Below are 12,633 nucleotides of genomic sequence, written 5' to 3'. Positions count from 1 at the left end.
TGGGACTTGCACTTGTGGGTTTCAGGGGTGCTCTTAGGCCTTTGGCTGCAGACTGAAGGCTGCAATGTTGGCTTCTCTGGTTTTAAGGCTTTTGGACTTGTACTGAGCCACTACCAGCTTCTCTGTCTTTCCCCAGCTTGCAGACAGCCTATCATGGCACTTCATCTTGTTATTGTGTGAGCCAATTCCCCTAATAAACTCCCTTTCATATATACACATATTTTATTGGTTCTGCCCCTCTAGAGAACCCTGACTAATCCAACTTGTGACAGTATAACCCCTATCTTTGTGACCCTTTTCACATAGCCTTCTTTCCTGTGGGTGTCTGTGTCTCTCTGTGTCCCCCCCTTTTCTTACAAGGATGCTTGTCATTGAATTTAGGACCCACCCTAATCCAGTATGAGCTTGTCTTCATCCTCAATTAATTATATTTCCAAATAAGGTCATATTCTGGGGTTCTGGGTAGATATACGTTTTGGGGGAATGCTATTTAATCTACTACAATTACAAATGGGAGATCATGGGTGATGAGAAAGACTTGAAGCATTGATTCCATGATTGTCCCAAATGGCTACTCCAGGCTGTCTTGTCAATGAGAAGACTGGATTTAATTAGTCTGGGTATTAATGCTGGACATCAGCATTTTTAAAGCTCTCCAGATTATTCTAACATGCAGCCAAGGATGATAATCGATGGGTTCTATGTTTCGTGAGATGTCTTCAGTAGAGTTTGGGGATCCAAGATCTTTTCCTGTATACGAGTACTGAGACTTCACAGTCTCTTGCCTGTGGTTCTAAACTCTTAGCCTTTCACAATGTAGAATATTTTCAGCCTCTTTCATCCATCTCTTCATCTATGTATGACGTGAACAATAAATTCAGAAGCCAATTATAACACCCCAAAATTATAAGTGAAGACAAATAAAAATAATGGTTGAAGAATAGCTCATTTTTCTTTAGACTCATTTTCACTATGAAAGGTTGTCAAACTCAACTGCATTCATAAAAAAATTCCTCAAATTTTTATTAATATCTTTTTGACAAGTTGTTCATACTGTGATATTTATGAAACAGCAGGAACTTATTTCGGAGTGACAATTTTGTCTGTTCTTCTGTTCTGAATGTATAAAAAAAAAAACCCTGAAATATGTGCAGAAAACATCCTTAAGACATTTGAAGAGAATGAAATAAATTCAATGGCAAAATGTACTTTCAAATATGGAATTTATAGTTAATCTCATTGTTTAGGCAAATGTCAATATTATTGAAGATTATTATTGCCTAGGGAATTCTGGATTTGTTTTGGTGGGGTGGGTCCTTAGTAAACTGGGTTTAATCCACTTTGATGCCAGAAAGCCTAGATTAAAAGTTAAATATACAGGTAATAATCTTTGTATCTTATTCAGTGAAATGTGGTAGGTCAGTGTTCTTTGAAATGGCTGAACTTGTCCTAATTTAGACAAATGAGAGTTCAGGTGGTATAACTCTTTTAAAGCATAAAAAACAAAGCTGAGATTCCAGGTGTATTAGTCCGCTTTCACACTATGGGTAAAGACATACCTGAGACTGGGCAGTTTACAAAAGACAGAGGTTTAACTAGACTTACAGTTCCACATGGCTGGAGAGGCCTCACAATCATGGTAGAAGGCAAGGAGGAGCAAGTCATGTCTTACATGGATAGCAGCAAGCAGAGACAGAGAGAGCTTGTGCAGGAAAACTCCCTCTTATGATAACCGTCAGATCTCGTGAGACTTACTCCCTATCATGAGAACAGCAAGGGAAATACCTGCCCCTTTGATTCAATTACCTCCCACTGGGTCCCTTTCACAACATGTGGGAATTCAAGATGAGATTTGGGTGGGGACACAGCCAAACCATATTACCAGCTGAGTTCTAAAATAAACTGCAGAGTAAGTTTGTCCTTGGAGTGTCAGTCCATCAGCTCACCTGATCCTTCTGGCTGTGGAATGTCACCCTACATGTGTATTAAGAGGATTTTCAAAGATATTTTTGTAAGTTTTCCCAACATTGCAAGAACTGATATTGTTTAGGAACAAAGTCTATCTGCTCAAGGTAATAGACAGAGGCTGAAAAAGCCCAGGTTTGGATTCAATCACTAAAAGTTAATACAGTCATGTGGCAAATCAGGATGTTTCAGTCAATGATGGATGGTGTATACGATGGGGGTCCCATAAGACTATAATGGAGCTGAAAAATTCCTATTGCCTAATGTCATAGCACAATGTGTTTGTGGGGATACTGGTATAAACAAACCTACTGCACTGCCAATCGTATAAAAGTGTACAGTAATGTCCTAGGCCTTCACATTTACTTACCACTCATTGGCTCATCAAAAGCAACTTCCGCAATTTCCATTCCCGCCAGCCCCATTCATGGGAAGTCCCCTATACAACTGTATCACTTTTTATCTTTTTTTTTTTTTTTTTTGAGACAGTCTCACTCTGTCATCCAAGCTGGAGTGCAGTGGCATGATTACATCTCTCTGCAGCCTTGACCTCCAGGGCTCAGGTGATCCTCTCACCTCAAGCCTTCTGAGTAGCTGGGACTACAGGCATGCACCACCACACCTGGCTAATGTTTGTAAGTTTTTTTTTTTTTTGAGACAGAGTCTCGCACTATTGCCCAGGCTGGAGTGCAGTGGCGTGATCTCAGCTCACTGCAAGCTCCACCTCCCAGGTTCAAGTGATTCTCCTGCCTCAGCCTCCCAAGTAACTAGGACTACAGATGCCTGCCACCATGCCCGGCTCATTTTTTGTATTTTTAGTAGAGATGGGGTTTCACTGTGTTAGCCAAGATGGTCTCAATCTCCTGACCTAATGATCCGCCCACCTTGGCCTCCCAAAGTTGCCAGGATTACAGGCGTGAGCCAACGTGCCCGGCTAATTTTTGTTTTTTTTTTTTTAGTAGAGACGGGGTTTCACCATGTTGCCCACCTAGGCTGGTCTCGAACCCCTGGGCTCAAGCGATCTGCCCACCTCAGCCTCCAAATTGTTGGGATTACAGGCGTGAGCCACCATGCCTGGGCTTTTTATCTTCTATACCATGTTCTTACTGTACATTTTCTATGTTTACACAGGTTTTGATACACAGATACTTGCCATTGTGTTACAATTGCCTACAGCTTTCAGAGCAGTTGCATGGTGTAGTTTTTTGTAGCCTAGGAGCAATGGGCTATGCCATACAGCCCCAGTGTGCAGTAGGCTCTACCATCTAGGTTTGTGTAAATTCACCCTATGGTTCGCATAACAAAATCACCTAATAACGCATTTCTCAGAATGTATTCCTGCCATTAAATGACACATGACTGGACATCAATGGCCCTGTAAGTAGGCTATAGGGCTTCGTAAAACCTGGGAAACACATGTTTCTTTCTTTATTTTCCAAACAATCTGTTGTGCTTACAAAACTTACTCTATTTTCTTTATAGCCCAGAAGCTGATTCGTTTGTGCCATTTTATGTTTAGACTACAATGACTTCAGCTTCCAGGGATGCAATCGTTGCTGGGAAAACTCATCCTTGGTCATAGGAAATAATACATTAAATGTTTTGTCTTACAATACACTCTATCTGAGATTACTACAGACCCAAACAGACACCTAAGTACCATCCTTCACCCACGGCCTCCTGCTGGCTTCATCCTGCTGTTATCATCAGGAAGCAGCTCGGTGCCGTATACTTAATGGCCTGGTTCGTGGAAGTAACTGAAGCTTCTCTAAACAGAGGATTCTAATTTTAATGTTGTACTTAATTTTGCTCTTTTCATCTTCGAGTGGTAAAATAAAGAGCAGATTAATCCTTCTCAGGATGGCATTACTGATTTGGTAGTCTTGAAGGAGAGGAAATACACTTCATTTAATGGTACTACTATATCTTCATTTACTCACCATCTGATATGGTTTGGCTCTGTGTCCCCACCCAAATCTCATCTTGAATTGTAGTTCCCATAATTCCCACATGTTGTGGGAGGGACCCAGTGGGAGATAATGGAATCATGGGGGAAGTTTCCCCCATACTGTTCTTGTGGTAGTGAATAAATCTCACAAGATCTGATGGTTTTAAGGGGTTTCTGCTTTTATTTCGCTCTCATTCTTCTCCCTTGCCACTGCCATATAAGAAGTGCCTTTCACCTTCTGCCATGATTGTGCAGCCACATGGAACTGGGAGTTCATTAAACCTCTTTTTCTTCCCAGTCTCTGGTATATCTTTATCAGCAGTATGAAAACAGACTAATACACCATCCTTCTGGTGGCCCCTGAAGCCCCTGAAAATAAGAAATATTTCATTTGACCCAGCGTTCAGAGGGACAAATTGAGGAAGACCGTAGGAACCAATGATTTGTTCAAGGTTATGTAATAGGTACAAGGAGCCCAAAGAACAGCAGTTGCTTTTCTCCAAAGTGCAAGTGTAGAAATACACTAGTCTTAGGAAGCAATTGAGCTCCAAAAACCAACCCCAAGACTATTCTCCTCAACCTCTGCAGCTGAGTTTGAAGAAAAAGACTTCACCTAGAAAGAGTAGATCAAGAACCAGAGGAAATACTGGGTTTAGAGTTCGAGCTGTAAATAAGAAAAATGGCTTTCTTGTCATTTTCTCCCTTTTAATTGCTATTGCTGGTTGCCACATAAATTCAGTTGGTGGCTGGGGATATTGGAGATAATATTTCTTTCTTGCTTCTTTTTCTTTTTTGCTTGCTTCTATTCTAGCACTGAGGAAAGTGACAAGTCTGGGTTTATATGGGGTTTTGGACATGGCCACAATTTTAGTTTAGCAACTAGAGAAAGATTTTACAACTTTTGACTCCAATGAAAACAGCAAGGAGAGCAGACACCAGCACAGATCAGTCCCTGGTGGCCTCATTTGGGAACGCTGTGTGAGGGTCCCACAAACATGAGCACCTCCTTGTGTGACCCCTCCCCCAGCCAGGGGCTTCACAATGAACAACACTAATGTGTAGCAGAATCAGTAGATTCCCCAAGATATTTTTCTTGGTTCAGTAGCTAAAGTCAGCCAACCTACAAACCAACCTACCAGTAGACCAAAACTCTTCTATTTTCTGCCACTGGCAGAGTCATCTCAGATGATAAGCACCATGAGAGGCATCGTTCTGAAACCAAAGCACAAAAACATGACACTTAAGTGAAGGACAGACAGCCAGAAAGACTGCCTATTGACTGAATCAACCACATACTCTATGCAGTCAAACATGTGCATTAGATACGTGAAGATTGGCATGGATCTCAAGAATTAGAGAATTATTAGAGAATGGAGATGGAGCAATGCACTAGTTGATTGCTTTTCTTTTGTTAACAAGTTCATGTTATATATTTAATATAATATGTATATGTATTTAAGTATGGAGGTATAAGGGGAAGTGGAATTAAGAATGACTGCTTAGCTGAAGTGTGGTGAAGGTTTCAGGAAACCATAGAGCATGTGGGGAGGTAGGAAGGACTCACCACAAGTTGCAAAGTAGGCCAGGAAAGAGGAAGGGAAGGTCAGGAGGCCTAGCAAGTTGCAAAAGCTCTTCACACCTAAGAACCAAAATACAAGTAGAACGAGTTGCAGACCAAACCCTCAGTTGATGACCAAACCCTCGGTTGATGAGTTTTGCAAAGCAATAGTGAAGTGGCTTAAGTCTATTGAGCAAACAAAAGGCTATAAGAGCTTCCCTAGAGAGCTACACTTGAGAGGGTGGGTAGAGCTTTAGGGAAGTGTGGAAATGTCTGGATTAATTTTACAGGGATTAGGAAAAGAGTAGAATTACAGGCTTCCACAAAACCTGTTCCTGAATTAGAGGACTGTCCAGTGCATACTGTAACCAAGGTCGGCTTGGGTAGGTGGCTTAGCCTCAGGATGCAGGGGCTGGATCTCTGGAAGGCACAGACTGTGTGGCATTTCAGAGGGGCTCTGACTCTGTCAAATGCTCCTTTGAGCCATTTTCCAATAGACAGTTGGAATCGGCATTCAACAGAAAGTTCCCTTAGACCAGGATTGGGATTTCTGAGGCCCCAGCAAGTAATACATCTCTTCCTTAAGGAGCAACTAGATTGTACTAGATTATTTTAACGGTCAAACTCAAGAATGTCAGTACGTGGGTGTTGAGGTCTTTAGGCCAAGTTATAGAAGAGATTTGTGTGACGTTGGCAGAATAACCCAAGGTACTTCTTGGAGGTTTCATTTATGTTTGTTGCTGATATTTTATTTATACAAGGCCACTTATAGAATTGTTTTTTTGTTGGGAGGGGGGTCCATAACCACAGAAGAATATGTGAATGAAGTTTAGGGGATCTATGAATTTCATGAAAGTATCTGAGAAATTTTGCATGTATTTTTTGGAGGGAAGAAATGCTTGTTGCTTTCATCTGAGGAAGTGACCTCAAGTGTATATGCAGATAGGAACACCAGTGGGAAGAGAGGTTCCAGTGAGAATGAGGGTACGGGGGGGCCTGCCATGATGTTCCAGACAAAGGCAAAGGATGAACTCCAGAGTATTCTGGAAAATGTATTTTAAATCTAGAGGACTATTTCTCAAAGGTTTCTGATGAGTTTTAGATATACACTCATCCTGTGCTGGACAGGTTGTGTGCATGTATCTCTTCAATGTGAGATTCTGGTGCCTGATTTTTCCACTTGCTCTAGGAATCTCTAAAGTTAATGTTTTATAACTATTTTGTTTATAATTATTATAGTTATTCTGAAGCCAAAGTTGTCACCTTTCTGGGATATATACTGGGGCCCCTGCTCTTAACACTAAATGTGGCTGGAGGACAGGAGTCTGAAGCTCCCTGGAAAGACATTGCAATGTCACAATCCCCTGCTTCAGTGATTGCATGCGGCAGTTCCCCAAGGATTCTCCCATGCGTCAGGATGCCATCATCACTCCTTATCCAGTGGTTGCCAGTGGAGAGCCAAGGCAACGCTTCCCTGCTGATGCTGAACACGGTTCTTTCTTCCCTTTCTCTTTCTCATTATCCCCTTTTTCTCTCTTTCTCTGGCTGTCTCTCTCCCCTCTGTCACCCAGAAGGAGCAGTTTTGAGTCTTCTTGTCTGGATTCCTCTCCACTCCACTCTCCTCCTCTTCTCGGGCAAAGTGAGGGGCTTGGAGTTTCAGGGGTGATGCCAACAGCAGTGAATCACACAGGAGGCAAGTAAGAGGGAATCTCACTTTGGGCAAGTCCCTTCCCCTCCTTAGGCCTGTTTCCTAGTCTGGAAAACAGGATAATCTCAGTACCTCCCTGATAGGCTGTGGGGAGCACTACTCAATGTGATCATATTAACATAGTGATAAGGGTAGGGTGTGTCACATAGTAAGCGGTACCTACCCAGTAAGCATTGTCATCATTATCACGATTACTATTCAGACCCCTATTCCATGCCAGGCACTGTCCTAGGCACCAAGGACATACTGAAGAACAAGACAGAAAAACTCCACGCCCTCCTGCAGTTTACAAGCTGTTGTGCAGGTGTGTGTTGGAGGAGTTTGATTTACACTTGGATAAAGGGCTGCACAGCAAATGAGGAAAGGCCATTTCATTTCCTCCTCCTTTTTCTTCTGGAAAAACACCAAAGCCCTGGGAGCAGCAGGCTTCCCGTGAGCTCTGCCTGCTGGGGCTGTGATGTCCTATGCCTGGGGACACTGGTGGGGATGACTCAAGGGCAGCATTCAATGGGTTGCCCTCCGGGACCCGGGCAGATGCCTGGTCACTTGCTGAGCCATGAAGTTGGCTGTTGGTGCACAAGGCTGCTGACTTCCTTACGGACGGATTCTGCCAGAGAGCACAGGCGACATCAAAGCAGAAACTCCAAAAATAATAACGCCACCTTTTAGGGAGAGTCATCTCCGTGGAGTTACTCAGCTGGGTACTTTGTACAAACACTGTTAATTTTCACAATAACCCCATTAGGTAGGTAATGTGATTGCCATTTTATAGACAGGGAAACTGGGAGAGTGAGAGGTTAACTGGCTGGTCCACGTTCATGCTGCTAATGAATGGTGAAGAAGGTTTCCAAACCCAGGTCGGACTGACTTTGAACCTGTGTGCTTCCCGATATACTGCATTTAAATTTTTAAAAAAATATTTCGGATGACCAGCTCTTTAGGAAATTTCACTTCTGAGCAGGCACCCCTTGACCTCTGCACTCACCTGGGCCAAAGCTGCTTGGATGACAATTTCATTAGGATGAAAATGGGCAGGACCCAGCTGGGAGCCTTCCAAATGACCAGTGTCATTATTGCTTGAGAATCTTTGCTGTGACATAGAAGACAGCATAGCCCTAAACTGTCTGACTGCATGCACACTCACAAACACACTCACACACACACACATGAACACACAAGCTCTCACACATGCTTATGCATACACACTTGCCCACACAAAGTCACCCACACATGCACACTCAAACACACATGCGCGCACACACACACTCACACATGCTCATGCATGCACACTTGCACACACAAAGGCACATTCACATGCACACTCAAACACACATGCACACACATACACACTCACAAACTCATGTACACTTGCACACACACAGGCACACTCACAGGCCTTGTGGAGACATTTGGGGATGTGTTAATCACAATTTTTGAAGTGGAAGACAGGAAGGAGGGCAGGCAGGCCCCTGGACACAGGCTTCTGACACAAGGTTGGCCCCTGCCCAGTGGGTGTGGACTCTAGAGAGCAGGGCTGGTCGATTGAAGGGCCTTCATCTCCCTAGGGTTACCTCCTGCCACCTCCCTCTAGCCCAGCTCTGTGCTTGCTTGGCACCCACTGCAGTATTTCTAGTATCTGCTGGTCATAGCTGATTCCTGGATTCTCTGATGGCTTAAAATCCTCCCAGAGCAGCCTCTGTGAAAGGTCCCTGAAGTTCACCTAGAAGACCACTAAGATTAGATCATCTGTACTTCTTATGCTTCTTTTGTCGCACTTTAAAATTCTCCTGAATGCAATTTTCTCTGGAAGAACCTCAGTATCTGAGTTCAAAAGATAAGGCCACTGTAGGGCAGCGAAGCATCTAACTGTGCATTTGTCCAAGAGGGGGAAATGCTCTACATCTGAAGCTCCTGCCCTTCTCTGTCCGCGGCCTTTTGTTGCACAGGGCATGAGCTTGACACTCCTCAGCAGGCAGGACCCCAACAGTGGTGATTATTCAGGGGTCTACTGTCTCTGTCTCTAGCTTCTGCCAGGATTGGGGATTTCATCCACTTACAGAGAAAAAGACAGAAAATGTGCACATCACCAATGTATTTATAGTCCTAGATGCATATTCAGAATGCAAAGCAAATTGGAAAGATGGGCCAGGCAGTCCAGCTTCAGCTGAGGTTCCTTTGAAGCAGTTTCTTAAAGCACATGGATTTCTCACCTCCTTCCAGACCTGTGATTGTCTGGTCAACACATCTAAAAAGAATATTCTTTCCGGCAACTGTACTGGGTTGAATAGTGGGCCCCTAAATTCATGTTCACCCGGAACACCAGAGTGTGAGCTTATTTGGAAACAGGGTCTTTGCAGATCTAATTAGTTAAGATGAGGTCACAGTGGAGGAGGGTGGACCCTAATCCAATTGATGCAGGGCAGGCGAGCCCCAAAGTGGGGCTTAACCCATCAGGGCCCTTGGCTTCAGCCAGGAAAGAATTCAAGGGCAAGCTGGCGATAGGTGGAAGAAAACAGCTTTACTGAGGCAGCAGTGTTACAGCTCCATGACTGCTCCTGCAGGGCAGGGCTACCCCACAGGCAGTGTGCTGACAGCAGCAGCTCAGGGCAGTTTTGCAGTCATATTTATACCTACTTGTAATTATATTTAGATTAAGGGGCAGTTTATGCAGAAATTGCTAGAAAAAAAGGTGGTAACTTTTGGGTTATCAGGTCATCGCCATGGAAAGGGGTGGTGAATCCCGGGTGTTGCCATGGCAATGGTAAACTGGCATGCACACCAGTGGGCATGTTTTAGGGAAAGCTGCTTCTACTCGGTCCCTGTTTTAGCTAGTCCTCAATTTGGTCCAGTGTCTGACCCGTGCCTCCCACCTCACAATGGCTGCTGTCCTTATAAGAACAGAAGAGACACAGAAATGAATGTCAAGTGAAGACAGAGATGGAGATGAGAGTCACGCACTAAATGCTAGAAAATGCCTGGGCTGGCTAGTGACACCTGAAGCTGGACAGAGGACAGGGCAGGTTCTCCCTCACAGCTCTCAGGAGGAACCAACCCTGCCAACGCATTGATTTTGGACTTCTGGCCTCCAGAACTGTGAGAAAACAAAATTTTTATTGTTTTAAGCCACTTAATTCACAGAACTTTGTCAGGACGGCCCTAGAAAATGAACACAGCAACTGATGAGAAAGGTGGGTGTGCTATGGTTGTAACAGTCACCTGCAGACTTTAACATAGAAAGGATGCTTTAGCGCTCACACATGCAATGGGATTCGGCTCGGGAAGAAAAGGTGGGCATGGGATGGAGAGGAGTCAGGGGATGAAAATGGGGAAACAGGAGAGAGGAAGAACAAAAGCATGGACCTGTAGAATGGGATTCGGAAGGGTAGGTGTCTCAAGGAAGAGGGGGAAAAGCCCTCCCCAGGTCTCACATCAGGTGCATTGATGATGATGATGATGGTCACCGCCATTCACGTGGTGCTTACTGTGAGGGGGCGCTTCATGCACATTAACTCGTTGAATCCTTTACTCCCCTGTGAGGTAGGTATGCTGTCTCCTCCAGTTTTCAGATGAAACACAAACAGTTTAACAACTTTTCCACAGTCCCAGGGCCCGTGATTGGCAGGACCAGGACTCCAGCCAGGCATTCTGACTCTGGAGCTCCTCTGTGAACGCGGCATGGGCAAGCTCAGCATCTTTGTAACAGACACGTTCTCCCGTGATGACTTTTCACAGCCTGTTTGTATTATTCAACTCTTCTGCTTGCTCTTACAGAGATAGGATGCCCGGGCGCCACCGCAGCAGCACCCTGTCACCCCAGTTCCATCCATCAGGGCTGGATGAGTTGGAGTGACAAGCATGACCTCCCTCAGGGGACCACCCGCCATACAGAGCACCTCACTGTCTCGCCACCTCCCACCTGTGGCTGTGTGCCAGCGCAGCCGCTGTGCCACTTAGCCCGTCTTGAGGAGCAGAACCTCTTTTGAGTTAAAATGTTAGGGATTATGATGACACTACCAATGACCAAAAGAGCCGTGAACCATCAGTGAAATAAGCAGTTTTCCTGCAACCAATTCCTCAGACTCTTTTATTCTGGCCTATTGAGATGGTTTTCTTACTGCTGCAATAAGTGTTTACTTTTGTAAGGAGAAAAAATCCCCAAATGTAAGCCACCCTCATCGAAGTCATCCTTTCTGAGGTTTGCACCCAGCAAGGCTGGCAAGGAGACAAAGCAAACACAAGCCAGTCCAAGGAGAAGGTGGGCAGAGGGGTAATGGCCACTACTCTCAGGTTCCCACTCTTCTGAATAATTCTTTCAAAGGTCAGAAACATTCACATAGAACTGCAGTTAGTTTATAGAGGGTAAGGCAGATTTTTGGCTTTTGAACTACTAAAAATGCACTCAGGTGCCCAGTTATGCGGTCCTTCTTTCTTTCTCAGGACACTTACACCTCCAACCCGCACCCTCATGCACTTTTAACATCTCCTCTTCTTTCTTGTCTCAGCTCCATTCACACTTCCTCAGGGAAGCTTTCCTTTGATTCTCATAGTTAGGTAAATATCCTCATTATTTTGCAACAAGCCAAGAGGTTCAGAATATAACCCCCAGGACTAGATTGCATGGGCTCCAAATCTGCCTTTGCCATACACCAACTGTGTGTTTATAAACAACTTAATGTACTGTGCCTCAGTTTTGTCATCTGTAAAATGGCATCAATGCAATGCTTCCCTCCTAGGGTTGTTAGGAGTATTAAATTAGTTAATATTTGAAAAGTGCTTGAAACAGTGCCTGGTATATTGTATGTACCCTGTGAGCATTAGCTGAATAAGATAAAAATATGCTTTAGTGGCATCATCTATCTGCTACTTCATATCACTTGAAATCACTGGAGTTGCACATGTCTTTATGAAGATGTGAGAGGGGCTGTCTCTCCCTCTACATTATGAGCAGGGATAGTGTTTGTAGCACCCACAATTGTATTCCCAGCATCTAGCTTAGGACCTGCACAAAACCGATACGTCATAGATCTTTGTAAAACGAATGAATCAATCATTGAACCAGTAAAAGGAAACTTGTCTGCACCCAAAATCCTGAGATGATAAACACCTTAGAGGGAGATGTCTTAGTCTGCTTGGGCTGCTATCACAGAATACCACAGACTAGGGGTCAAACTGTGGGAATTTGGTTCTCACAGTTCTGGAGGCTGGAAGTCCAAGATCAAGATGCTGGAAGATCTGACCTGGTGAGGGCTCTCTTCCTGGTTTGCAGACAGCTGCCTTCTTGCTGTGTCCTCACCTGGGGAGTGGGAGAGAGTGAGGGCAAGCTCTCACATCTCTTCTTGTAAGGGCACTAATCCTATTCTTAGAGGCTTCACCTCCACGACCTAATCATCTCCCAAAGGCTCTACCACATAATATCATCCCATTGAGGGGTGTTAGGATTTCATCATGTGAATT

At 44.3% G+C, this 12,633-nt stretch overlaps 1 long non-coding RNA gene across 1 annotated transcript in view, besides 1 other annotated feature; it reads left to right on the top strand.

Moving 5' to 3' along the window:
• Nucleotides 1–12,633, top strand: part of LOC105376387 (uncharacterized) — a 294,200-nt gene that overhangs the window by 66,538 nt on the left and 215,029 nt on the right. The gene's annotated exons all lie outside the window — the stretch shown is intronic.
• Nucleotides 7,276–7,445: an enhancer, noted in NCBI's record as "experimental_16971 CRE fragment used in MPRA reporter constructs". NCBI's record gives its function as "activates a minimal promoter by MPRAs in K562 erythroleukemia cells, with activity observed for both the introgressed and non-introgressed 10:7086534 variant alleles {active_cell/tissue: K562}" and the evidence as "EXISTENCE:reporter gene assay evidence [ECO:0000049][PMID:34662402]".

Source organism: Homo sapiens, chromosome 10 (assembly GCF_000001405.40).
Source record: "Homo sapiens chromosome 10, GRCh38.p14 Primary Assembly".
NCBI lineage: Eukaryota > Metazoa > Chordata > Mammalia > Primates > Hominidae > Homo > Homo sapiens.
The sequence above is the reverse complement of the archived record's forward strand: the minus strand, read 5'-3'. Positions and strand labels throughout refer to the sequence as shown.